Below are 27,307 nucleotides of genomic sequence, written 5' to 3'. Positions count from 1 at the left end.
TCCATCTCAAAAAAAAAAGAAAGAAAGAAAGAAAGAAAAAAGAAATAGAGATGAGGTGAAACAGGGAGACAATTTTATGTTGCTGTGTTAGGAAAGTCAGCTCCTAGAGGATCTTGGCTTGAATGTCACTCTCCACGTCCTGTGTCCTGTGTTCCCTGACCCCCAACCGGACGCAGAGCCCCTGCCTCCTACCAGCTGCCATGGCATTCTGCTTGTTACTCATTCATTGGTTTAATCATTTTAGTCTTTGTCTCTCCACCAGACTGCAAGAAACTCCTTGAGGTCACGGGCAATGTCTGTCTTGGCTCATAATCCAAATATCCCCAATGCCTAGTAAGCACCCGGCATAGAGCAGATATTCACAAAATATATGTTAATTTTTTTTATTTTTTATTTTTGGACCATGGCACATGGAGCATTCCACCCACCCTGGTTTTATAATATAACATTATGTGTCAGGCCGCCACAGTGGCTCATGCCTGGAATCCTAGCACTTTGGGAGGCCAAGGTAGAGTCAGGAGTTCGAGACCAGCCTGGCCAACATGGTGAAACCGCCGTCTCTACTAAAAATACAAAAATTAGCCAGGTGTGGTGGCAGGCGCCTGTAATTCCAGCTACTCAGGAGGCTGATTCAGGAGAATTGCTTGAACCCAAGAGGCAGAGGTTGCAGTGAGCCAAGACCATGCCACTGCACCCCAGAGCGAGACTCTGTCTCAAAAACAAACAAAAAACAACAAACAAACAAAAAACACATTGTATGTCAGATCATTTTCCTAGATCAATGAATGGCCTTTGAAAATATTATTTGAATAGCTTCACAATGTTCCATCATGTTAATATACCTCAATTTATTTTGCCATTTTCCATTGTTGGACATTTAGCCTAACTTCGATGGGAAATGGAGGGCAGACATCTCTGGCAAGTGTCTGCATATGTGGTTGAAACAAGGGTCATTTAGCTTGATAAGCAGATAAGCACACCCACCGCCAGGAAGCAGCCTCAGACTACATCCTTGGGAGGCAGGAAGTCACAGATGGCACAGCAAAGATGCAGGGAAGGCCTCCACATGCCTGTCTAAGGGAGCACTTTCTCCCTTTGTTCATTTACAAAACTCACTGTTGTTTGCATCGTGCTCAGATCTGTACTTGGTTCCATTTGAGTAAAAAACAGGTGAGAAACATCGTTTTCCTTCATTACAGGATGCTGAATCACAGGTGTCCTTTGGGCTCTGGGTAGGAATTCAGGTCAGAGCCCTCAACTACCACCACCCACGTGGGGTCTTGGCCTTTGCCAGTGATGATCTCCCTGAAACACCATCTATCAGACATTTCTCCCTGCCTTTCTAAATCAATCACCCTCTCGCTGTGCCCCTTCTGCAATTAGGTCTTATCTCTGGGAGAGTGTCACTCACCTGTGCTCCAGCAATTTGGATTTTGAGCTCCTTGAGCTGAGAGAGGGACCACGGGTGGGGCCTCCTTGCACAGAAGCAGAATATCGGGCTTTACCATCAGAAAGATGTGGCTTCCTCTCCCAGAACTGAGCAGGCTACTGAACCTCTATGAGCCTCAATTTCTCCATCTGAATAACGGGGATGGTGATATTCCCTACATCATAGCATCAGGCGTCAATGAGGTCATCTGTGCCAAGAGCTTAACACAGGTTCAGAGGAGTACTCAATGACTCTTGGCTGTTATTTCACACCCAGCACCTAACCCCTTCCCTGGGACAAAGTCAAGGCTCAACGAAGATTTCATGGATCAATGAACAGACAAATGAACAAGTGAATGAGTCGGTTCAGTAACAGCAGGCCACGTCTCACTCTACAACTGTTGGTTACAGTCTGACACGGAGTGGCCGCGACACTCCACGGCGCCAAGTGCTTTGTTTGCCTTGGCTGGCTTTTTTCCCATTGAACTGACGGTTTGTTTGGGTCTCCTGGAGACAGTCTGGCAGCCTGTGAGCTCCGGGGCTTCCTGAGCCTGTCAGTCAGATTGCTCAATTTCTAGACTGAGATGCTCTTCAAAAACACTACCTTCCACCCCCACAGGCCAACAAGAGATGGGGAGAATTTTAAGAAAATCACAGAGAGTGGGGCCACTGCACTCTCCTGCCTCATCTTTGACTACTGGTCTGGTTTTCACTCAGGGAGCAGCCATGAAAGAGGTTAGATGTGGGGAGCAGTTTTTAGTCCTGGAAGTTCTAGGACCACTCTGAGTCCATCAAAGCCTCATGCTGAACTTGGGTCCCCAGTGCTGTCAAAGAAGGACCAGGCACGTGTAAACCCAGGCATTCGGCTTCTTAGAGCAGCAGTGACCCAGGCAACGTTCTAATGACCGAGGAGGTTACCAAAGGACTGAACTGTACCAAGATATCACATGACATTGTCATGAGAGGCAGAAGTGCACAGGGCTAAGGTGCAGGGGTTGGTGCTCCACAGTCAGTGGTATGTGGGTTCAGACCCTCTGGCACTAACTAGCTGTGTAACTTTGGGCAAATTAGCAGCATCCTTGAGCTTTCACTTGCTTATCAGTACAATGAGAATAATAATAAACCCTTCCACACAGGGCTGCAAAGGTTCAATAAGAATGCAGAAGGCGGCCAGGCGCGGTGGCTCACGCCTGTAATCCCAGCACTTTGGGAGGCCGAGGCAGGCAGATCACGAGGTCAGGAGTTCAAGACTAGGCTGACCAACATGGTGAAACCCCATCTCTACTAAAAATGCCAAAATTAGCCGGACATGGTGGTGCATGCCTGTAATCCTAGCTACTCAGGAGGCTGAGGCAGTAGAATTGGTTGAACCTGGGAGGCAGAGGTTGCAGTGAGCCGAAATCGTGCCATTGCACTCCAGCCTGGGTGACAGAGCAAGGCTCCATCTCAGAAAAAAAAAAAAAAAAAAAAAAGAATGCAGAAGGCTTAGCACAGTGCCCAGCACACTGGGAGTTCTCAGTTCATGTCTACTGTGATGGTGACGGTGACAGTGACCACAGTGATGAAGACAATAAGGGTGGTGGAGGTGGTGGAGAAAGTGGGGGAAATAAGAGAGGTGGTAGAGGTCAGGGAGATAAAGGAGGTGAGGGAGTGGGAGGTGGGATGACGGTCATGGTGGTGGAGATGGGCTGGGGGGGAGGCAGTGGTCATAGAGACACATGGTCATATTTATGTGATTCAGCATCATCCTGTGAAGAGCCACTCAGCCACTAGCCTGGTGGGGGCTGAGAACTTACCCCAGAAGAACTGAGAAGAACCCGGATGATCAATTTTTCATGTTAATGCATAGCTAGTCTATGTCACTTTGCAAGGAATGTAGTCACATAGGCATTCGCACAGTGAGGAGTCTCTGCACATAATATAGAAGCCGTTCTTTACCTACCCTCAGGTATGGTGCCACTGGGCACCAAGGTGTCTTGCCAAATGTGGCATATCCGCCATGTCTCCTTATCCTCACCACAGAGTGCTTCTGGAACACACGAGCAATGTGAGGCTCCTTCTCATACAAAGAGTTTCTTCGCTACCAACCAGGAGGGGTGCTTATCTCTGGGACCCTGTGCTCTGTCACCCGGCCCCCAGATACCTGCGTCAGGCATCTGTAAACTGGTTTCCCTAGAGGAGAAACCCTGAAGCAAAGAAAAAATCAAACAAGCTGTTTGGGATCAACCTCAGCACCTTAACCTCAGCAACACAGCATCCAAACCCATGCCGCTACAGAGTGGAACACCTTAGGAGAATCTGTTTTCAGTATATAAAGAATATAAGCAAAACAGCCAAAATCGGATGGGCTTGAAACTCAAAAATCCATAAACTCTGACACCAGGCCTCACTCAGTTCTCCTTCTGCTTCTGAGAATTTCTGATACCTGGCAGGCAAGGAAGCTAAAGGAAGAGGAGGAAGAACATTTCTTTCTAACTCTTCGGTTTCCAGAATCTCATTCACATCTCCTACCTCCCATGACCCATAGGCAGCACAGGGAGCTGTACAGGAGGAAACTGAGGTAGCAGAGTTAATCCCAGTATGTAGCAGTCAGACCCCACTTCTGTGTGCTGGGGAATGAGGCTACCATTTCCCAGTGATGAGCTGGGGCAAGTTACACCAGCTCTGTACAGCTTGTCCCTCTGGGCCACTGAAGTCCCAAAGCCAGAGATTCAGTGTGCTCCAAGCAAGGAGAAGCTCAACACAGACGTATTCCTTCTCCTTCTCCCATCTCAGCTGCTGGGAACTGGATCTAGGAGAGGAAAAAGTGAGGGAGCTAGAGACACCAAGGAGAACTTTGGCCAAGCAGTTTCCATTCTCACGGGACTCTATTTTTCTGCATTGGCGCCTCCATTGGGGCCTACGTTCTAATTTTTTCTCCTTATATTCCTTTCCCAAGGTATGATATCCTAGCAAAAAAAAAAAAAAAAAAAAAAGTCCCAGCCCTCGTAAAAGACAAATTCATTCAGGTCCCTCCCTACCTAACACCAACAGATGGGCCATGAGCAGACCCCATCCAGGCAGAGAACTTCCTTTTCTGGCCAAGAGGCACTTGGATGCTAACCCAACACTGAGCAGCTCCTCCTGCTGATCCAATTCTCGCCCTAGAGAAAGAGGAGTTGGCAACAGGTATGGAGAGCACAGGATGGAGGTGGGAGGCACAGGAAGAGACAGAGGACACCAGGCAGGAGGATACTCACAGGGCATCGGTGCACCAGCCAGTATGCCTTCTCCTGGCAGTCCAGGGCATATCTGTCTGCTTTGTTCCTCTCCTTTCCAGCCCTGGAAAGCCAAAAGCCACGTGTAAGGCCAGGAAGACTTTGTGTCTTTTGATTAGTGATGCCCCTCATTCCTGATGACCTAGACCCCTCTCCCAACCTGCCCAAGTAATTCACATATACCGTAATAGTAATGAACACAGCAAGCACTGACATCTCACTTAAGTACTAGCACCCTTCTAACCACTTTGACACGTATTAACTCTTTTAATCCCACTTCATCCTCCCGGTGGCCTTTTCTTACTTCAAAGTTCAGGGCACTGAAATGAAGAGGGGGTGAATGCCCCACCAGCCCACCAGGGTCACACTGCTAGCAATTGGCAGAAGTGGCACTTGCACTTGGGAGTCTGGCCAGGGTCTAACTCCCCCGGACAGGACAGTGCTGCACTGAGATCATATTGCCGCCACCAGCCCTAAATCAAACCAACTCCACCAACTTCAACATTAGAGAGCAGCGCGCATGGGTGAACTTCCGGGTCGACATTTGACCTCCTGGCTTCTTAACTTTTCCCTGTTTGGGCAAACAACATAGTCAACGTCTGGTCAGGCAGGCAACCCCCTGTGGGATGGTGACAAGGAAGATGCTGGCCTGGGGAGTCCTCTCTCCTCCGTGCCTGTAACTTCTACTCTGGCACTGCAAAGAGTTCATGCCACGTCGGGGCTTTTTCTGAGCACAACTTATTGCTATAAAAGGCTATTTATGGCCCGGCGCAGTGGCTCATGCCTGTAATCACAGCACTTTGGGAGGCTGAGGTGGGCAGATCACTTGAGGTCAGGAGTTCAAGACCAGCCTGATCAACATGGTGAAACCCCGTCTCTACCAAAAATATAAAAATGTTCCGGGCATGGTGGCAAGCACTTGTAATCCCAGCTACTCAGGAGGCTGAGGCAGGAGAATCGTTTGAATCTGGGAGGCAGAGGTTGCAGTGAGCCGAGATCGCGCCACTGCACTCCAGCCTGGGCAACAAGAGCAAAACTCCGTCTCAAAAAAAAATAAATAAATAAAAAAGGGCTGTTTATTTTCCTTTTTATCTCTCAGTCTCTCTCCCTTTCCCACTCTGGATGGGAAATGACGCAGGGCCTTCTTCCTCCAGGGGCAAAGTAACACTAATGATCCCGCCGTGGGCCCCCTTCTGTACCATTTCCACGGAGACCCGCGCTCACACTTGTTAATGCTTGTTTTCCCAGGCAACGTGGGATGACGCACACGCCCTCTGCAAGACAGAGTCGGCGAATTCATCTCCCCGTTAACGTACTGTGAAAAACATCATAACACTCAGGGAGCCAGATGGGTGAACAGCGCCATTCCATTTGGGCGTTCCGTCAGCCTCCTCTGGAAATTAAATATAAACATTGTTTTCAAACTTCCCCCTGACAGCCTAACTGGATTTTCTACCACATTAACTAGCCCCTGACCTCAGGAGCATGGGCCACAACCAGCCTGAGGCATTGCAGTTTCCACAATGCTGGAGAGCCTGGTAAATAGAGTCACTCTCTGATTTACCCCACGGGTCCTTTCCGGCTTTGCTCTTCTGCTTTTCTGTAACAGATGTTATTAGAGGAGAGTCATGATAAATGGAATGCAAGAGAGTTAGTAACCTAGGAATTACTTTAGTTTGTGATTTTTTCAGCAACAGCATTTGCTTAATTTTTCATTCATTCATTCGTTCATTCATGTACTCATTGATCTTCCAGTATATTCCAAGCACTGGGAGTCTACTGGTGAACCAAACATAGTCCCTGCCCTTGAGTAGCTTTTGAGCTAAACATCACATACACAGTCAAAGAATCAATACAGAATTGCAAATTGCATTATTTGCCATAAGGAAACAGAGTACCATCATGCAGCATCAGGGATGGCCTCTGTGGTGATTTTTAAATATGTCTACAATTCTTTGACACTCTTTCCATTGACAGATGTGTCTATGTCTCCTCCCCTTGAAGCTAGATGGGATTTTGTGATGGTTTCTACCAACATGGGACGTCAGGCATGGCACTAATTTCTGAGGCCAGGCCATAAAAGGTGGGACAGCAGTCACCCTCCTTACTGGAATATGTGGTCTTGAAGTCCCCAAACACCTCTAAGCAATCTAACAACCCTCCCTGATGCCGCCATGCTGTGAGGTAGCTCAAGCTAGACCACACAGAGAGGCTACAAGAAGAGAGTAGGAAATGCCAGCCAGCCCCAGTTGCTCCAGGCCCCCAGCTCCAGCCATCTGACAGCAACCACTCAAGAGACTCTGAGTTAGAATTGATAGGCCAAGACCTTCCCAAATCCCTAACCTATAGAAATCAGGACACATAATAAAATAATTGTTGTTGTTTTGAGCCACTAAATTTAGGATGATCTGAGTGCAGTAACAGCTAATCAGAAAAGCCTCTTTGAGGAAGTAACATTGGAAGTGAATGTTCTCCCCGATAGCTAGAGAAGATGGATTGAGGTGATCTTATCTGTGTTTCAAACATGGGGAGAAATTGGGAGCAGAGAGGCCAGTTGGGAGGATGTTGCCATGGTTCAGGTGACGGTGAGTTTGGTTCAACCAGGGTAGGGGCAGTAGAGGTACTGATATGGGTGATACTGGAGGAAGAGGTTTGGAGAGTGAGGGAAAGACATATTTGAATATGGACAAGGTAAGTTTGAGGTTTGACAGCAACATGAGATCTTGAGTAGCTGTCTGGGTGCTGAGTGTGGAACTTGGAAGACAGGACTCAGCATAACAAAATGACTACTTTATGGGCCAACCTACATGGTCAACCACGTTTTGTGCTGAGACCCTAAATCTGAAATCAGAGGCAGCCTTTAAGCCATAAAATAAGTGGGAAAAAGCCATCTCAAATGGAGCAAGCCTTTTAGGAATCGCTCATTCCAAGGCACCTGGAAGAATGAAAGAGGGGAATGTCCCAGGACCTGGGCAGCACAGAGCTTTATCGCAGCTGAGTCCAAGGCCTTGGTGGTGGACCTGCAGGGATCACTGAGAACAGCTCCAAGCTTCAAGAGCACCCAGAGCGCCCAAGAAAGCAGATGTCAGGGTTCATAGTCCTGTGGGTTGCTGGGATAGTCCTGCTCAGAGCAGACAGGAGGAAGAAGGGATGGAGGGGTTGAGGGAGAGGGGCACATCTTACCCATCTCTGTGTCCCTGGAGCCCAGCCCAGTGCTGGAACCCATCAGAAACTCAAAACTGGTGCAACAAATGGAATTAAGTAATATCAGCCTAAGATCTACCATTATCTCACCAAGTGACTTCAGCTAAGTAATTTTCACCTCCCTAAGTCTCAGTCTCCCCATTTGTAGAAATGAAGGGTGACAATAATTACTATGGTAAGTATTTCCCCACACCAACATAAAGTGAGACAGTACCCAGAAACTCACCAAATGAAGCCTTATGAACAAATATAAGTGATTAAAGATAACCCGTGTTGTTTCGCCTCAAATGTACCCAGGTAGAAACATGTTTGTGGCTAATGAGCAGTGGCAGCTCTCTCACTGATGTTCTACCTGATTCTAAACCCTAAGAACATATTTTCCCCCCTGGAGGGCAATAAAGCTGTTCCGCCATAAGAATCTATTTTTCCCGGACCAGCTCTCCCATAAACAGTGTTCATCACTACTCCAATACCTAGGCTGCTGGGTGAGAATCAGGTCTTCCCCATCCAGCCCAGCTGAGCACCAGCAAGTCTAGACCTTCCTGGATCTGGGACTGTCACAGCGAGTGAGGCTGGACTGGGGGGATCATCGGTTTTGGTAATCACTGGTGCGGGTCACCAGATGTTCCCAGCTGTCCCTCTTCTCAGGCACCTAGTAGGATTCTATGTCCCCACCCACCAACCTTTGACGTTGACCTGCTTTGCCTAGTGACTCATGAGCAGGATGACAGGGCTGCTCTGATACACACAGGAAATCCCTGTCCCTGCTAAGCAACGCACAAAGCCCAGATGGTGCTGCTTCTTCTGCATATGGGTCCTGGAAGTGGGGAAAGCATGTCAGGGCCCCAGCTGCCCCACGGTGGATGAGGAGCACCAGCAAGAAATGGACCTTGTGGTTTCCAGCCCCTGAGAGTTGGGGGCTGTTTGTAATGATAGGCTAACCTTGTCCTGACCACACCCTCTCCCTACCACTCCCTGTCCCCAATATCTGCATCCAGCTCTTGTTAAGGCAGAGCCCTGGAGGGGACTTCCAGTTCCAGTTCTGATATGGCAACAGGCAAATGCAAGTGAACGAGGCGTGGTTCTAACATGACAATCTGATCACTGTGTATCCCTTCCCTGCTTAAACATCATTCTATGGCTCCCTATGGCCCTCACCACAAAGCCCTCTCACGATCCACTCTTGCTAACATCTCTAGTTCACATCTTCCTAATTCCATACTTTGCACTCTCAGATGCAGCTGCAAGGAACTGCTTGCAGTGGGCACACTCCTGCCTCCAGCCTCTGGTTCTGCCTGCTGAGAGCCCCTTCCTCTCACCACACCTCTCCTCTTCCTCCACAACTGCTATCCTTCACCTGGACCCCTCCTATGCATTCCCCAGGTTCAATGCCATTTCTACGATTCCTTCTGAAAACCCCAGCCAGGTGGCCCTCATCTCACAGCAGCACCATAGCCTATTCTTTCATCTGCCTGACCTATGAGACTGTGTCTTTTGATTCCCCCTGCGCAGCCCAGTGTTAGGCACATAAATGCTCAAAAACAAGTTTATTTTAATAAAAGGAAAGAGTCCAGGCGCAGTGGTTCACGCCTGTAATCCCAGCACTTTGGGAGACTGAGGCAGGCTGATCACGAGGTCAGGAGTTTGAGACCAGCCTGGCCAACATGGTGAAACCCCGTCTCTACTAAAAATACAAATAATAATAATAATAAATAAAAATTAGCCAGGCATGGTGCTGGGTGCCTGTAATCTCAGCTACTTGGGAGGCAAGGCAGGAGAATCGCTTGAACCCAGGAGGCGGAGGTTGCAGTGAGCCGAGATCACACCACTGCACTCCAGGCTGGGCGACAGAGCAAGACTCTGTCTCAAAAAAAAAATAAAAATAAAAAATAAAATAAATAAAAAGAAACAAAGAAGGAAGAGAGGGAGGAAAGACACCGAGAGGACAAGCATGGTCTCCTTTCACTCACCTGTACTGCTCTTTGGCCTGCATAATGACAAAGTCCCACTTATAGTTCATTTTTTGGTTCAAGAAATTGTAATTTTCCTAAAGAAGAAAAACAAAATGAGAACAGAAAGCCCCAAGACATATGCCATGTGCCGCAGGGCAACAAACTCTAAGTCAGCAAGGGCACACCCCTGGCTCATGGCAACCATGGACCCAGCCCGATGGTATCTAAGCTGGTTTTACCATGGTGTTCACTCAAGGAGCAGCTGAATTCTCAAAACACTTTCACAAGAAGCCTCACTTTTATTGGTTTTCTTTGCTTTTGTAAAAATAAATGTATCCCGGCCAGGCGTGGTGGCTCACACCTGTAATCCCAGCACTTTGGGAGGCCAAGGCAGGCAGATCACAAGGTCAGGAGATCGAGACCATCATGGCTAACATGGTGAAACCCTGTCTCTACTAAAAAAAAAAAATACAAAAAATTAGCCAGGCGTGGTGGCGGGTGCCTGTAGTCCCAGCAACTCGGGAGGCTGAGGCAGGAGAATGGCATGAACCTGGGAGGCAGAGCTTGCAGTGAGCCAAGATTGTGCTACTGCACTCCAGGCTGGGTGACAGAGTGAGACTTCCTCTCAAATAAATAAAAAATAAATAAATAAATAAATGTATCCCAAATCTGATTAGGAAGAGAGCATCAGAGATTAAAAATAATTTGAAAATCAATTTTTTTTTTGAGACAGTGTCTCACTGTGTTGCCCAGGCTGGAAGGCAGTGGCACAATCATAGCTCACTGCAGCCTCAAACTCCTGGGCTCAAGCCATTCTCCTGCCTCAGTAGCTAGGACTACCTGTGCATGCCACCACACCTGGCTAATTTTTTAATCTTTTGTAGAGATAGGGTCTCACTATGTTGCCAGGCTGGTCTTGAACTCCTGGCCTCGAGTGATCCTCCCATCTTGGCCTCCCAAAATGCTGGGATTATAGGCGTGAGCCACCACACCCAACCTGGAAACTCACTATTCAACAACAGAGCATCACAAATTCACAAAATAAACCCTAAGATAAAACAAAGATAAACCGGCCTTTCTGAAAACATGTTTGTAAGAATAAAAACACGTGGCCTAGCATGGTGGCTCACGCCTGTAATCCCAGCACTTCGGGAGGCTGAGGTGGATGGATCACTTGAGCCCAGGAGTTTGAGACTAGCCTGGGCCTCCTGTCTCTACAAAAAATACAAAAATTAGCTGGGTATGGTGGTGTGCTCCTGTAGTCCCAGCTGCTTGGGAGGCTGAGGCTTGAGCCCAGGAGACAGAAGTTGCAGTGAGCCGAGACTGCACCACTATAGGCCAGCCTGGGTGATTGAGCAAGACGTTGTCTCAAATAAATAAATAAATAAATAAATAAATATATAAATAAAAATAAAAACACAGCAAGATTTTAACCCTCCACCCAGAAATTTTGGCCTTTTGAGGGCTAGCATGTGTTCTTTGGGAAACTGGACTCACCCAGCCTAAAACAAAAGTCTATACAGTCCTATTGTTTTCCCATCATAAATTGAAGTTCGGGCCAGGCACGATGGCTCACACCTGTAATCCCAGCACTTTGAGAGGCCGAGGCAGGCAGATCACTTGAGGTCAGAAGTTCGAGACTAGCCTGGCCAACATGGTGAAACCTCATCTCTATTAAAAATACAAAAATTAGCCAGGCGTGGTGGCACACGCCTGTAATCCCAGCTACTCGGGAGGCTAAGGCAGGAGAATCGCTTGAACCTGGAAGGTGGAGGTTGCAGTGAGCTGAGATCATGCCACTGTACTTCAGCCCAGGCAACAGAGCAAGACCTTGTCTCAAAAAAACAAAAAAAACAATTCAAGTTCAAATCTGTTAACCAAGGGTTGTCCATTAGAGTACATATTTATTATGTCACATTGTTTTGGGATGGCAAAAGGAAGTGGGTAGCCACTGTGTGCCCAGTAGCCACTGAGGCAAGGGCTTAAATTACAGCAAGAGAAACTGAAGTTAGACATGAGAAAGAATTTACTTCAGCTAGCTGCTTCTAATTAATAAATGGATGGCTAGCTGGCTGGCTGGATGGATTGCATATGAATGTGGGCGCATATGAATGTAGTGATGTGGGAATGAGGAAAGTACAGCTCAAAACTATCTTCCACTCAATTATAACAACCTCTACTTAAAAGCACCTCCATACCTTTTCATATTCTTCCAAAATCCCTTTCTTTTTGATATTTCGCTTGGCCAGATAGATGGCTGGAAAAGAAAGCAATGACATTTTCCATCATCATCTTTCAAAACCCCATCTGCAGCCTCCCTAAGCCTGAGGCTGCTGTGCTCAGAGTCGGGGAGAGAACGCTCAGCACACCCAGCCCCTTGCCCCTGGGGACATGCCCAGTACAGATGTGGACTGACAGAAAGGTCATGATGACAGCAAGACAAATGTCACCAAAGTGCAGCAAGTAAATAAGCAGCATGTTAAGCACTACCAAAGGCATAGTTGGGGCTGAAGTATTTACCGTAATCGGTATCTTCAGCTGGCCACTGCTGGGTGGGCCAGAAATACGGTGTCTGCAAAAGAAACCAGGGAAACCACGCTTTAAAACTGGATTGTGACTCAATGGACCCCAACCCTGTGACTAAAGAAATCCAACCACCTTGGCCCCCTCCACCATTTCTGAAGTCCTTGATCTGTGAAACTATGAACCCCACCTTTTCAAATGAGATCAACCCCATATGAACAGCCAGGGTCAAGGCCAAGACTCACCTGAAATCTGTAGAGGCTGCCATCAGGCTTGAGAATGAGATTCTTGGGGTCTTGCAGGGGGTAAATGTAGCCATACCTGACAATAAAGTTGCCCAAGTTCTGTGCCTCTGGGAAAAGCAGTTCAGACATGGATGTTAAGAGCAGGGCTGAGACAGGAGCTCATTGCCGGCCCCCACGGCACCCCAAACTCCAGGACAGGTGCCCCTTCCTAACAGCACTGCATCTCATGAGCAGTGAGGACACTGGTTGCTGAACTTGGCTGTGGACAAGCGTGAGCTGGGTTGCACGCTAAAAGGAGGACCTCCCAGGTCTTATCCCCAGGAGTGACAACTCAATAAGTCTAGATGGGAACTAGGAAATCTGGATGTTAACAGAAACCACACGTGGTCTGCTGCAGCGGGTGATGGTTAAGGAAGGCCTAGAGAAGCCTCTATAGGCCCTTTGGGTCTGGGAAAGGTCACAGGACTGGGAAGAAAATGTCTCTGTTGGACCAACAGACACTTTGTCACTCCAAGAATGAGCAAGGAGCATCATGTTTATTGCCAACTTCTATCCCAAGCTCACCTCTGCCTGCATCTCGGGTCCAGACCCTTCCTCTCCTTCCCACTTCACTTTAATTCCCACCCTGCTCCAGTTTATTCGGAAGCACAGCCTTGTTTATCAATTATATCAATTAAAGGACAAACTTCCTTGGTTCTTTCTCCAAAGCATCAATGAAAGCAGATATCCTTCCATCCTCTGGGGAGGATTCCATCCCTCCATTCCTGCAGGACCCCCCAGCCCAAGGACCCAACCCATCTCCCCATCCCATAGCTCAGCCTCCAAGGTGTGGGAAGACTTCCTCCCCAGCCCTCCCTCTCCAGGTCTCGCTCCCTCCATCAAAGACCAAGTCCTAAAGTTGTATGCCTCATTGTACCAACAGCCTATTTTCTAGTGTGAAATCTACTCTCCAGTTTCTTTCTGCTCCAATCCATTTTCTAAATTGCTGCCTTTCACTCGTGTCCGTGTGAAGAGACCACCAAACAGGCTTCGTGTGAGCAACAAGGCTGTTTATTTCACCTGGGTGCAGGCGGGCTGAGTCCGAAAAGAGAGTCAGCGAAGGGAGATAGGGGTGGGGCTGTTTTATAAGATTTGGGTAGGTAAAGGAAAAAGGGGGGGTTGTTCTCTGGCGGGCAGGAGTGGGGGGTCACAAGGTGCTCAGTGGGGGAGCTTTTTGAGCCAGGATGAGCCAGGAGAAGGAATTTCACAAGGTAATGCCCTCAGTTAAGGCAAGGACTGGCCATTTTCACTTCTTTTGTGGTGGAATGTCATCAGTTAAGTCAGGAACAGGCCATGTAAATATCACTTCTTTTGTGATTCTTCAGTTCATTTCAGGCCATCTGGATGTATACGTGCAGGCCACAGGGGATATGATGGCTTAGCTTGGGCTCAGAGGCCTGACACTGCGAGGCACCCTAGCTGAAATATGATTATCAGGCACATTGCCATGCTCAAAAATTGCCTGTGGCTTCCTATTGCCTATCTCCCAGATCTGCAGGTGCTCTTCCACCCCTCTGCCACCCTCCATAGCCATCTGGAGCCATGACTCTCAATCTCCCTTGTCACTCCTCCACTTTCCACTCATTCCATTTCTAAACCATTGCTCTTGCTAGTGTCCCCTTATAGGAAGACCCTCAGAGCTCCTCTTCACCAATTCACAAGCATCACTTCTTTCAAGACCAGCTATACACAGCACCCCCTCCAGGACTTTCTTGACTGAGTCCTCCCCACTTATCCCTGTTATTTATGCTCTAAATATTTTGTACAAAATAACTCTTTCGTCCCCAAATTATCCTGCCTTTGCTTTTGATTCTGGTACTTTTACACACGAAGGTCATGTCTGTCCAATTAAAATGTAAATTTCTCAGAAACACAGGCTAAGTCTCTATTTAGTTTCTCCCATGGTGCTGTACACAAAGCTGTCCCGGATAACTGAGTGCCAGATGAGCTCTCACCCAGACTGGAGATCCAAAGCCGCTGGACGATCCATTGCAGAACATCACTTCCTGAAAAACAAGAGACATTTGCGGTTATTGTCATAGCCTCCTGACACATCCCCGCTCCTCCACGCTGTTGCCTGACTGGTCTCCTTCCCGTTCAGCTGCGATTTCATTCCTCTTCGCTCAGAACCTTCAGAAACCCCCACCTCATCATGCTCAGTCCCAGCTCTGCAGCCTGTAATTCAAGGCTATCCATGATCTGACTCCAGCAGATGTGCAACTTAACACCGCACGCACCCCCAGCCCACACATACATACACACACGCTTCATCTTTACATCTCTTGTTGTATTGATCTTTTACCTGACGATAACTTGTACATGGTCTGTTATTCACTAACTGGATAGTAAATAGGCTAAGTCTAAACACACACACACACACATACACACACACAAAACAGACCCGAGGCAAGCTGTTTGCAGGGCTCTGGACCAAGCTGGGACTCTGGGAGTAAAACAGAGACAGGGATGAGAAGAGGACAGGCTGAGGGCTGGGGCCGGCTCTCCAACTCCCCAAGTTCCCAGGCAGAACTCCGAGGAGTCAGAAACTTCTAAACTTGAACCTGGCCTTCCATGACATTGTGAAGGTACTTTTGTCAGGGTAGGAGGTTGGGACCTATCCTAGTTGATTTATAACTTTAGATGATGGAATGAAGGCTCCATGTGTACTCTCGCCCCAGGCCCTGCAAATCTTAGGGGCTGGCTTGGGAACAACACACAAAAAAACATGAAAAAATGGCATGAAAAACAGCAGGAGAGGCGGGCTCAGAGGCCAGGAGAGAATGTGCACCCGTACACCCGTCCCACCCACCTGCTCCCCTCAAGGATTCAGATTTATCTAAGGGTCAAGGCAAGCCAAGTTCCACCAACAAGCCCAGAGCTGCCGTACGACCCCACAGAAGCTCTGAGCCCCTTCCCTCAGCCTGGGCCCTCTCACCTCACAAGCAGAAGGTACAGCTCGTAGGCACAAGGTAATAGCATCTCAGAAGATAGACAAGGTGCCCTGGAACGAAGCACCGCATCACAGATACCATCGTGCAGATGCCAATGGTCACATTTTCCAGCAATCTTAGCCTGCTTTCCAAAGGCCAAGCTGGAAGCCTGTCTGCATGGAAACAGGCCCACATAACACATCAAAGAAGAGGGCCAGGATTGAGACTCCACTCCCTGTGTTCTTATGTCTGGATAATTGCCAATGATACTTCCCTCCTCGGAGGCGGTGCAGGGACATTTCTTCTTATGACCCATATACACGCTCTCTGGGCGTAATTGCCTGCCTACGACCATGGCTGGGTGTAGACAACCTGTAATTCTTCCCTTCATGCCCACACCCTAGGACACAAATGTCCAGCCATGATCTCTGTCAGTGTCCACATGCACACTGTCATGGCTTTCCATGGTTCTCCCTCTGTTGCTCTTAGCATCATTCACTCCTGGATGGCTGTTCAAAAGCAAAATCCTTCATCTAAACTCCTAGGACTGGGTGTTTAGACTTTCCACACCAAGTCTCTCTCTTTAAATGCTACACAGTGGTGCGCAGGCAGAGAGACAGACCTAGGCAGACATCAGACTGATTAGCTCTCTCCACCGAGGAGCCGAGGGCTTTCTCATCCACTTGACTGCCTCCCGAAATAGATCAAATGAGATTATGGTGCCACCAGCATCTGTACCACGCGGTCTACGTTGACAGCCTGGCAGGCTGCTCAGCCTCCCGCATCAGCCACCTTTGTCCCGAGGAAGCCCTGGGACGCCTGCCGTCCAAGAAGTTAAATAATTTTTTTTTATCGGTGCTGTTGTTGCAGGACCAGGGCTTCTCCCTGTGTTGTTTCTACAGCAGCTGGAATTCACCTGTGCAGGAGGAACAAGGAAGCCATGGCAGGATGGGCGACCTCGCCCAAATCCAGGAACCAAGTGTGCCCCGTGTGCAGGGAAGGAAAGCAGCTGGTGCACAACTGACAGTAGATAAGAATATGGACTCTGGGCTGGGCGCGGTGGCTCATGCCTGTAATCCCGGCACTTTGGGAGGCCGAGGCGGGTGGATCACCTGAGGTCAGGAGTTCGAGATCAGCCTGACCAACATAGTGAAATCTCATCTCTACTAAAAATACAAAAATTAGTTGGATGTGGTGGTGGGTGCCTGTAATCCTAGCTACTCCGGAGCTGAGGCATGAGAATCGCTTGAACCCAGGAGGCAGAAGCTGCAATGAGCCAAGATAGTGCCACTGCACTCCAGCCTGAGCAACAGAGAAAGACCCTGTCTCAAAAAAAAGTATAAGTAAAAATAAAATATATATATGGACTCTGGAGTCACATTGCTGGGCTGAAATTCAAGCTCACTCATGAAATGAGCTTAAGGACATGAAGGCAAGTTGCTGAAACTCTTTGGTCTCCATAACCCCATGTGCAAAAAGTGGGCAGTCATATCTACCCTTAACTTTATTGTGAGTGTTAACAGACAATGTGTGGGAAAGCACTAGCTACCACCACCATCCAGCACCCACTGCATACTCAGCACCTGCACAGAACTCTCTCACTTCCTTCCTGCACTCGTTCCCTTAGGGAGGGATTGCCATTCTTGCATTAAAAATGAGAAAACTGGCCAGCTGTGGAGTCTCAAGCTGGTAATCCCAGCACTTTGGAAAACCGAGGCAGGAGGATCACTTGAGCCCAGGAGGTCAAGGCTGCAGTGAGCCATAATTTTATGACTGCACTCCAGCCTGGGAGACAGCATGAGACCCTGTCTCAAAACAAACAAACAAAACAAAACAAACAAACAAAAACAATGGAGAAAGTAAACTGAGACCAGGGCTACAGCTAGAAAAGACACCTGAAGGATTTAATCCTTCACTCTCCACACAAGGACAGACAATAAGTGACTCATGCATTCAATAAACTTTTACTAACCATCTGTTACAAACACAGCTCTGAGAAGCATTGGGATTACCCAGATGAGCAAGACAAGGTACTTTCCCTTAAAGGGCCCCAGTCCAGTAGAGAATTCAGGCCAAAATTAATGACAGTCAAAGGCAGGGAGGGGGACAGGGTCAGGGATGCCTTCAGGAAGAATTGCCCCAGCTGCATCTGAGGTGATGGGGGACACAAAGGCACCCTGAAAAGTCTGCCCCCTGTTTCCACTCTTTGGGTGCCCAGAGCTACGCTGGTTCTTGGCCTTTCCAAAGTCTGGCTTGTCAGTGTTTCCTTTTCCTCCATGAGCTGCTCTATAGCATTTCAATTACTTCCCCTTTTGCTCCAACAAAAGAGTGGGTCTTCTGTTGCTTGCATGCAAGGAAACCTGAGTGACACATTGCTGGTGGGGGCATCCTTTCTTCTAAGCAGTCAGAAAGGGAAAGGGGAAGCTGTGAGCCAGCTTGTCTCTGCAAAGACTAGGGCACCTTGAGTGAAAAATAAATAGTCAGGTCAGGGGTGGCATAGAGAGGGAGGCCTCACATTGAGCACAGCCGTGGTGAGGCCCGGGCTTGGGCTATGAGAAGCTGTCTGCTTCTGCAGGCAATACGCCTAAGTATGAAACATTGTCTTTACTGCAAAATCAAGATCAGAAAACAGGTAACACATTAACCAAAATGCTCTCTTAATATTGGCGTCCAGCCCTTCTTGCCAATATCCCCAAATGATGCTCTGTAGGCACCTCACCCCCACACACAGAGAGGAGACAGTGGCACCACTCCCACAGGGCAGTTGAGAAGGGCCTGAAATGAATTAGAAGGTAAACGGTGGAGCAAAACAAAGGCCAACTTTTTTCTGCTAAATAGTATTTTTTTTTCTGCTACTTGGTTTCATTAAAACAAAGCAAACAAAACAACAAAACAAAAAATGACAGTGAAGGTTTCTAAAATGACCTTCTGGGAGGAATGGCTTCAAGAAATGACCTGTTGAGTCCTTTTCTCCCTCCTGACCCCTTCCTCAGAGGAAGACTTTAGTCCAGGAGTCAGCAAATGTACTCTGTAGAGCGCTAGATAGTAAATAAACATTTCAGCTTTGTGGGAGTCTTGTTCTGTCACCCAGGCTGGAGTGCAGTGGTGCGATCTTGGCTCACTGCAAACTCCGCCTCCCGGGTTCAAGTGATTCTCATGCCTCAGCCTCCCGAGTAGCTGGGATTACAGGCATGCACCACCATGCCTGGCTAATTTTTGTATTTTTAGAAGAGATGGGGTTTCACCATGTTGGTCAGGCCGGTCTCGAACTCCCGACCTCAGGTGATCCACCTGCCTCGGCCTCCCAAAGTGCTGGGATTGTAGGTGTAAGCCACTGTGCCTGGCCACAACTATATATTTTAACTCTGCCATTGTAGTGTAAGAGCAGCCATAGACAATACATAAATGAGTGAACATGGATATGTTCCAATAAAACTTTATTTAGAAATAAAGCTTTGTTTTGTTTTGTTTTGTTTTGTTTGAGACGGAGTCTCGCTCTGTCGCCCAGGCTGGAGTGCAATGGCGCAATCTCTGCTCACTGAAAGCTCTGCCTCCCAGGTTCAGGCCATTCTCCTGCCTCATCCTCCCGAGTAGCTGGGACTATAGGCACCTGCCACCATGCCCAGCTAATTTTTTGTATTTTAATAGAGACAAGGTTTCACCGTGTTAGCCAGGATGGTCTTGATCTCCTGACCTTGTGATCCACCCGCCTCGGCCTCCCAAAGTGCTGGGATTACAGGCGTGAGCCACTGCACCTGGCCAAAAATAAAGTTTTTTACAAACACAGGAGGTGGGCCGTATTGGGCCTGTGGGGTCTATTCCAGGCCAAGACTAAAGTGCAAGCTACATCACCTGTCATGGCATGAGGAACGCTGGTGACCAGGACCCTCTGGTTCTGCATTCGGACCCCTGTCTCTGGGTTCTGCATGTCCTTCACGAGCGCTTCAATCTGCAAGACAGAACAGGAAAAAGCCGACTGACGAGAACAATTTTGAAAGTTGTGCAGGGCAATTTCCACTGCACTGAGAGGGACCTCAAAATGCAAAGGTGGACACAGGGGTTCCCCATCTGGTACAGGAGCCAGGTGGGCACTGAGTGACTCTAATGCAACCAGGACTAAGGTGTGCTCCACAGACACAGATCCCATCCCTGCATGTGAAGACTCGCAGATTCATCCTGACTGGGAGATTCTGGGGTGGCTTTTAAGGAAAGATGGAGCTTAACAAGAAAGGATTTTGCTGAACAGAAAGTGATAGAACACCATGGGCAAAGGCATGGAAGGATGACAGCTCCCAGGGTTAGTGGAACAGAAAACAGCAGGAGTTGCAGCTGGAAAAGCCAGTGGAGGCCAGACCACATGGACCTCAAAGCCACCCCTGCAGTGTGGATTTTATTCCAGTGACTGTTCCTAGAGAGCGTTCTGGAAATTTGGCCCATGACAGAGAGAAGAACACTGAAGTGTGAAGAAGTTTGCAGAGGTAGAAAAAAGTGCAGTGACCTATTCAAAGCTATTGCATACAGCCCAGGTGAGAAACGACAGTGACCAGGCACAGTGGCTCACGCCTGTAATCCCAAAATCTGGGAGGCAGAGGCGGGAGGATCGCTTAAACCCAGGAGTTTCTGACCTGCCTGGGCAACATAGTGAGACCCTGCCTCTACGAAAAACTTAAAAATTATCTGGGCGTGGTGGTACATGCCTGTAGTTCCCAGCTGCTTGGGAGGCTGAGGCAGGAGGATCACTTGAGCCCAGGAGTTCCAGGCTACAGTGAGCTATGATCGCACCACTGCACTCAGCCTGGGTGACAGAGCGAGACCCTGTCTCTTTTTAAAAAAGAAAAGAAATGACAGCGTTTCAACCCTTAACACTCCCACTCTTTGTATTCTCAGCAGAGCAGCCAGATGGGCTTTCCATTATTTTAGAATATGTCACTCTTCTGCGTGGCTGTTCCACTGCAAGGACCACTTGACTCCAAGTAAATGATAAAGTTCCCCTACTGGTCTACATGTTCGGGACCCCCTTCCTCTCTGACTTCTTTCTTACCCACTCCCCACCGGCTCCCTCTGATCCAGCCACACTGGCCACCTTCCTTCCCCCAGCCATACCAAGGACACTCCCAGCCAGCCTTGGGCGGGTCCCATGTTCTGGCTCTTCCCTCTACCTGGGCCAGTCTTCGCAAGAGACCAACTTGGCTCCCTCCTCACCTTCTTCCCCTTCTGATGGTCTCAGGAGGCCCACCCTGACCATTCCTAAAGCTGCAACCCTGAACTCCACCCTTGGCACTCCTGACGCCCTGCTCCGTTTCTCAAGAGCATGTGTGGTCTTCAAACATACAAAATAATTGACCTAGTTAATACATTGTCGGTGGTGCATCTCCCCTAGCTCCTGGAAAGCAAGCTCTTCCTGGGGGTCTTTTTCTGTTGTTGTTTGCTGCTGGATGTCAAGTGTCAGGAAGCATGCCTGCCACATAGATAGTACCCAGTAAGCAAGTGATGTGTGAATTAATAAATAAATGAGGCAGTGGCCAGGAAGATGGTAAGGAGGCATGACTTTCAGAGCCCTGGAAGAGCGAAAATAAACTGCATTTGCAAGTGATTGAAAGGTTCACTAAGGGTGACACAGAATAATGCCAAGGTTTATAACTTATAAGACCAGAGTTACCAGTTACCAAACTAGAAAATGCAAAGAAGAAGCCACTTCTGGAAGCAAAGGTGTCTGCCTTGGAAGGTCGACTGTAAGGGGCTTCTGAGATTCCCACAATGTCTGGGAGGTGATTGGAAATGACTGCCCCAGGTTCAGAAGAGACAGGGTCAGAGATATGAATTAGAGCCATGAATGTCAGGGAGAGTTGAAGCTAAAGAGAATCAACAAACTGTCCAAGGAAGCCTGCACTGCAGGAAGGCAGCCACAGGGACAGCCCTGACTATCTTTAGAGTTGTTTTTTTCATTTTTATTATTAAAAATTATTTCCCACTTGAAAAAATCAAATGGAAATAATATCAGCTGAAGGACTCTTTTTTTTTTTTTTTGGGACAGGTCTTCCTCTGTCGCCCAGGCTGGAATGCAGTGGCACGATCTTGGCTCACTGCAACCGCCACTTCCTGGGCTCAAGCAATTGTCCTACCTCGGCCTCCCGAGTAGCTGGGATTACAGACACATGACACCATGCTCAGTCAATTTTTGTATTTTTAGTAGAGACAGGGTTTTGCCATGTTGGCCACGCTGGTCTCAAACTCCTGACCTCAAGTGATCCACCTGCCTCAGCCTCCCAAAGTGCTGGCATTATAGGCATGAGCCACCACACCTGGCGTGAAGGATTTTTTTTTAAACAAACTGGATGTTTGACACTAGTCAACAAAGATGACTAGAGAAAACCCAGGTGTTTCTCTTGTTATTCGCTGTTTGCTACTGATCTTGACAAAGCTTCATGTGCAGAGGTTTCAAACTTCATGTTCCCCTGGAAAAGCCCTCACTAACGGGAAAGCTGTCCACTCCCCCTGCCCCAGATGTGCTTGCCAATGGTCAGCTGGTCATTCGACATCCAGGCACAGTCATGATCAACTCTGGGAAACCAGAGAGAAGCTGTGGTCCCTGAGCCCAAAGATCTAACTGACCAGTGCAAAGATATTCTAGGACAATGCAGAACATGCAATGACAAGGGTGAGTCTATGGTGTCATGTGAACACAGCAGTGCCTAGAGCTGGGCAGGAGAGAAGGACTCCTCCTAGGTTTATTTTTATTTTTATTTTTTTAGACTGAGTTTCTCTCTGTTGCTCAGGCTGGAGTGCAGTGGCATGATCTCAGCTCACTGCAATCTCCGCCTCCCGAGTTCAAATGATTCTCTTGCCTCAGCCTCCCAAGTAGCTGGGATTACAGGTGCCCGCCACCACGCCCAGCTAATTTTTGTATTTTTAGTAGAAACAGGGTTTTACCATGTTGGCCAGGCTGGTCTCGAACTCCTGACCTCAAATGATCCACCCGCTTCAGCCTCCCAAAGTGCTGGGATTACAGGCATAAGCCACTGCACCCAGCCTCCTAGGTTGAATTTTACAAAGATTAGCAAGGAGTAGGAAGCAGAAAGAGAAAAGGAGCATGGGTGAGGGTGTTCTAGGTGGAAGGGCCACAGAAGCAGAAGCACAGAACATGAACCAGCAGCGGGAAACAAAGCCCTTTCCTGCCTTCACCTGGCCCAGGGCTCTCTCCTGAGGTCTGGGCTGCTGCGTGCAGCTGGACATCAACGTGGATGGCTGCTCTCACACCAAGTCTGTCCACATTCCCGCCATTACCCAAAGTAAAACATCTCATCCATTTACCTGCTTCCCCTCCATTTAGCCACCTTGCTTACACCATCATTAGTCTTCTGGCACTGAATTAAACAACATCTCCCAACACTGTCTGGCTCATTACAATTTACAAAATCCTTTCATGATCTGAAGGTGCTTGCTTGCAGTCCAAAGAAAAAGCACTCAGTCTCCATGGGACTTTCTTTCTCTATTAACTGTAGGATCTTGGGCAACTCACTTAACCTCTCTGAATCTCCTTTCTCTCCATAAAATGGGGACCATGATGTGGACTACTAAAGAATTCTATAATCTCTTAGAATTTAATTAATTTGTGACTTTATAATCCCTTAGAATTTAATTATGTAAAATGCTCTATAAGGAGAGATATATGTTATGTATGCATGAAGATATATGCTTTATCAGGAGAGACATATGTTCACTATTATGGTTAGAATTATTAATATTAGTAGCATTCATACTAATACATTTTGAAACTTTGCATGCAGGGTTGTGTTTAGGTGCCCAGGAATAGAAACCCAGGTCAACAAACCAAATAAGTATAGGTATTTATTGAGCATGTATTAAGAACCCTGCACTGCAAGGATACAAGGTAAAAGACATACACCCAGTCTTCAGAAAGTTGAGCAGACAGTTACATGAAAATGAAAAGTTAACTAATATGAAAGCTAGGAGTCTGAATGCAGAGAAAGTTCAGTTTCACATCTCTGCTCCAATTTAGAAGCTAGAGGCTTTTGGTAAATTGCTAAATTTCACTAGGACTCATTTATCTGTAAAATAGAACTTGCAATAGCATCAGGCCCGGTGCGATGGCTCATGCCTGTAATCTCAGCATTTTAGGAGGCCAAGGCGGGTGGATCACTTGAGGTCAGGAGTTCGAGACCAGCCTGGCCAACATGGCAAAACCTCGTTTCTATTAAACATAACAACAACAAAAAAAAAACTAGCCGGGCATGGTGGCGGGCGCCTACAATCCCAGCTACTCAGGAGGCTGAGGCAGGAAAATCGCTTGAACCTGGGAGGCAGAGGTTGCAATGAGCCGAGATCACGTCACTGCACTCCAGTCTGTGCAACAGAGAGAGACCTTGCCTCAAAAAACAAAACAAAACAAAAAAAACACCAAAACCAATCATCGTAGGGATATTGCAAAGACTAAATGAGATTAAGCATACAAAGCATTTCATATCATTCTGTGCACAAAGTATTTATGAAATAGCAATTGCAAGTCAGACATGGTAGCTCATGCCTGTAATCCCAGCTACCTGGAAGGCTGAGGCAGGAAGATCACTCGAGCCCAGGAGTTTGAAACCAGCCTGGGCAACACAGGGAGCCCTTGTCCTCCTCCCCACACCTACCCACAAAAAAAATAGCAACTGCAGACTGGCTGAGATGATCCCAAAAAAAGTGCAGAGAGGGCCAACAGAATCTCCCTAGATGGTGAGGACCAGGCCGCACTCCAAGGGAGGGGTGGTATAAGAAGGACTCAGGTTTCTTAATTCAGAAATGGAAAGAGATTGAAATTGGAACCCTGTGCACTGTTGGTAGAAATATAAAATGGTGCATCTGCTGTGGAAAACAGTATGGAGGTTCATCAGAAAAATTAAAAATAGAACTACCACAGCATCCAACAATACCACTTCTGGGTATGTACCCAAAAGAATTGAAATCAGGCTCTGGAAAAGATACCTGCACTCCCATGTTCACTGCAGCACTATACACGTTAGCCAAAATGTGGAAATAACCTAAGTGTCCACTGTCAGATGAACAAAGAAAATGTGTTCTATGCATACAAAAGAACATTGTTTGGCTTTCGAAAAGAAGGAAATTCTGCAATATGCAAGCAAATGGATGAACCTAGGGCTAATTATGCTAAGTGAAATAGGCCGGTCACAGAAGGACAAATACCACACGATTCCACTTACATGAAGTACCTAGAATAGACAGATTCATAGATCAAATATCAGAATGGTGGTTGCCAGGGGTTAGAGAGAAGGGAAACTGGGGAGTTGCTACTCAACAGACATAAAGAACTTTCAGTTAAATGAGATGAATACATTCTAGACATCTGCTGTACAACATTGTACCTCATCAACAATATTGTATTGTGCACTTAAAGTTTTGAAAGGGTAGATCTCGTGTGAGATGTTCTCACCACAATAAAATAAAAATTTTTTAAAGAGAGGCCGGGCACAGTGGCTCATGCCTGTAATCCCTGCACTTTGGGAGGGTAAGGCAGACAGATCATTTGATGGCAGGAGTTCGACACCAGCCCGGCCAACATGGTAAAACCCCGTCTCTACAAAAAATACAAAAATTAGCTGGGTGTGATGGCGCATGCTTGTAATCCCAGCTACTCAGGAGGCTGAGGCAGGAGAATCACTTGAACCCAGGAGGTGGAGGTTGCAGTGAGCTGAGATCATGCCACCGCACTCCAGCCTGGGTAACAGAGTGAGACTCTGTCTCAAAAAAAAAAAAAAAAAAAAAGTTTTTAAAAGAGAGAGAGAATGATCCAGGTGCATTCAAGGTGACGGGTCATTCAAGGGAGTCCTGAAGTGGAAAAATGCTACCTGCCACCTGTCACTCAGGCAGCCTGAAGCTGGGAAGCTCCCACCTTCCCAAGGAGCGTGGGACCATGACCTAACTTGATGCTGAGGGGTGAGATTCCCTATTTCAATCTTTATTGCTAAACCAGCATTTGCAGCTGAACCACGATTTCAAGAAATGGGCCAAGGGCAGGTACACAGCTGAGGCCACTCTGAGCACACAGCCAGCCAGCGTGCAGACCCAGGCAGCTCCAGGGACTCCTGGTGCAAGACTGACTGTCAGCTTCCTCTGCACGGACACATTCTCGGCTCACAGAATTGTTTTGGAACAGAAAATACTTATTTTGGCTTGACTCAGAGCCATAGTCCTTGGCCATCTGCAGTGTCAGGACTTGGCAGCATCTGAGGTCACTGGGTCAGCTGTAGGTCCAGCAGCAATGAGGGAAGCAAAGGGACAACGCCAGGAGGGTGTTTGCGGGGCACTGGGAGGTACAGCTGCTGCTCCTGGGGGTGGCCCAGGGAACTGAGGAGGCAACAGGCTGCAGGAGTGACTCCTTCTGGAGTTCTCCACTAACTGTGACCTCAGGTCTCCATGGTACCCAAGAAGTGCCTGATTTTCTTTTTTTGTTTGTTTGTTTGTTTTTGAGACGGAGTCTTACTCTGTAGCCCAAGCTGTAGTGGCATGATCTTGGCTCACTGTAACCTCCACCTCCTGGGCTCAAGCGGTTCTTGTGCCTCAGCCTCCTGAGAAGCTGGGACTACAGGCGCGCGCCACTACGCTAATTTTTTGTATTTTAGTAGAGATGAGGTTTCACCATGTTGTCCAGGCTGGTCTCAAACTCCTGACCTCAAGTGATCTGCCTGCCTCAGCCTCCCAAAGTGCTGGGATTACAGGCATGAGCCACCGTGCCCGGCCAAGATTTTCTTTTCTTTTTTTTTTTTTTTGAGACAGTCTTGCTCTGTCGCCAAGCTGGAGTGCAGTGGCGGATCTTGGCTCATTGCAACCTCCGCCTCCCAGGTTCAAGCGATTCTCCTGCCTCAGCCTCCCAAGTAGCTGGGACTACAGGCGCACCCCACCAAACCCAGCTAATTTTTGTATTTTTAGTAGAGACGGGGTTTCACCAGGTTTGCCAGGATGGTCTTGATCTCTTGACCTCGTGATCCGCCCACCTTGGCCTCCCAAAGTGCTGGGATTACAGGCGTGAGCCACCACGCCAGGCCAAGATTTTCTAATATGAGGGCCCAAGACTCCTTTTTCCCACATTAGCTGCCGGATGAAAGGCTGCCTTCATTCAAAATGGTTTTTATTAGATGTAACAGCAGCATGTTATAAAAGCAGGGAGCCCATATATTGGAGAAGACATATAATCCCACTTTAAAAGTTAGAAACCCGAGTTTCTCTGATAGAAAGTTGGCAGATTTGATTCCTTGTCTTTGCATTTAAAAAAAAATCGAGTTATAAAGAGTTTGAAAATAACCTTCAGAGGAGGAATAATGAGAGTTATTTTAAAAACACAATGAGGGGAGTCAGATTTCTTTCTAGGAGGTGTGTCACCCTTCACAGAAAGAAGGGCTGGGTGGGAGGAGGGAACGTCACGTGGACCTCGGGAACATTTTGAGGGAGTTCGGCCCATTGGGATCCGATCCTTTTTCCTCAGACCTTTCCCCGTACAAATTCCTCTGAGGCGTCTCCTCAGTCTCCCCAGGAAACCACAGAACTCTAGCTCTATGGGCTGAACTGCGTCCCCCTACAAATTCGTACATTGAAGTCCTAACCCCAGTACCTCAGACTGTGACTGCTTTTGAAGATAAGGTCTTTAAAGAGGTGAAATGAGTCCAGGTGCACTGGCTCACACCTGTAATCCCAGCAATTTGGGAGGCTGAGAT

The 27,307-nt window shown here is 47.8% G+C and overlaps 1 protein-coding gene across 3 annotated transcripts in view, besides 4 other annotated features; it reads right to left on the bottom strand.

Moving 5' to 3' along the window:
• RGS9 (regulator of G protein signaling 9) overlaps positions 1 to 27,307 on the bottom strand; it is a 90,334-nt gene that overhangs the window by 54,755 nt on the left and 8,272 nt on the right. For all 3 annotated transcript variants that reach the window (NM_003835.4, NM_001081955.3, NM_001165933.2), the window contains exons 2-8: positions 19,431 to 19,527; positions 14,604 to 14,654; positions 12,610 to 12,716; positions 12,362 to 12,413; positions 12,040 to 12,098; positions 9,860 to 9,936; positions 4,668 to 4,749 (exon numbers count right to left, since the gene is read on the bottom strand). In NM_003835.4, coding sequence (NP_003826.2) covers positions 4,668 to 4,749; positions 9,860 to 9,936; positions 12,040 to 12,098; positions 12,362 to 12,413; positions 12,610 to 12,716; positions 14,604 to 14,654; positions 19,431 to 19,527 — 525 coding nt within the window. The remainder of the gene's footprint in view (positions 1 to 4,667; positions 4,750 to 9,859; positions 9,937 to 12,039; positions 12,099 to 12,361; positions 12,414 to 12,609; positions 12,717 to 14,603; positions 14,655 to 19,430; positions 19,528 to 27,307) is intronic.
• Positions 4,801 to 7,805: an enhancer, noted in NCBI's record as "VISTA enhancer hs1517". NCBI's record gives its function as "enhancer in: neural tube[6/13] | other[10/13]" and the evidence as "EXISTENCE:transgenic organism evidence [ECO:0001131][PMID:17130149]".
• Positions 8,485 to 8,544: a silencer, noted in NCBI's record as "silent region_8862". NCBI's record gives its function as "represses an Ori minimal core promoter by ATAC-STARR-seq in GM12878 lymphoblastoid cells {active_cell/tissue: GM12878}" and the evidence as "EXISTENCE:reporter gene assay evidence [ECO:0000049][PMID:35858748]".
• Positions 8,835 to 9,034: an enhancer, noted in NCBI's record as "active region_12608". NCBI's record gives its function as "activates an Ori minimal core promoter by ATAC-STARR-seq in GM12878 lymphoblastoid cells {active_cell/tissue: GM12878}" and the evidence as "EXISTENCE:reporter gene assay evidence [ECO:0000049][PMID:35858748]".
• Positions 17,514 to 17,673: an enhancer, noted in NCBI's record as "active region_12607". NCBI's record gives its function as "activates an Ori minimal core promoter by ATAC-STARR-seq in GM12878 lymphoblastoid cells {active_cell/tissue: GM12878}" and the evidence as "EXISTENCE:reporter gene assay evidence [ECO:0000049][PMID:35858748]".

The sequence above is a fragment of the Homo sapiens genome, chromosome 17 (assembly GCF_000001405.40).
Source record: "Homo sapiens chromosome 17, GRCh38.p14 Primary Assembly".
Lineage (NCBI taxonomy): Eukaryota > Metazoa > Chordata > Mammalia > Primates > Hominidae > Homo > Homo sapiens.
Note: the sequence above shows the minus strand (reverse complement) of the source record. Positions and strands in the feature narration are given on the sequence as shown.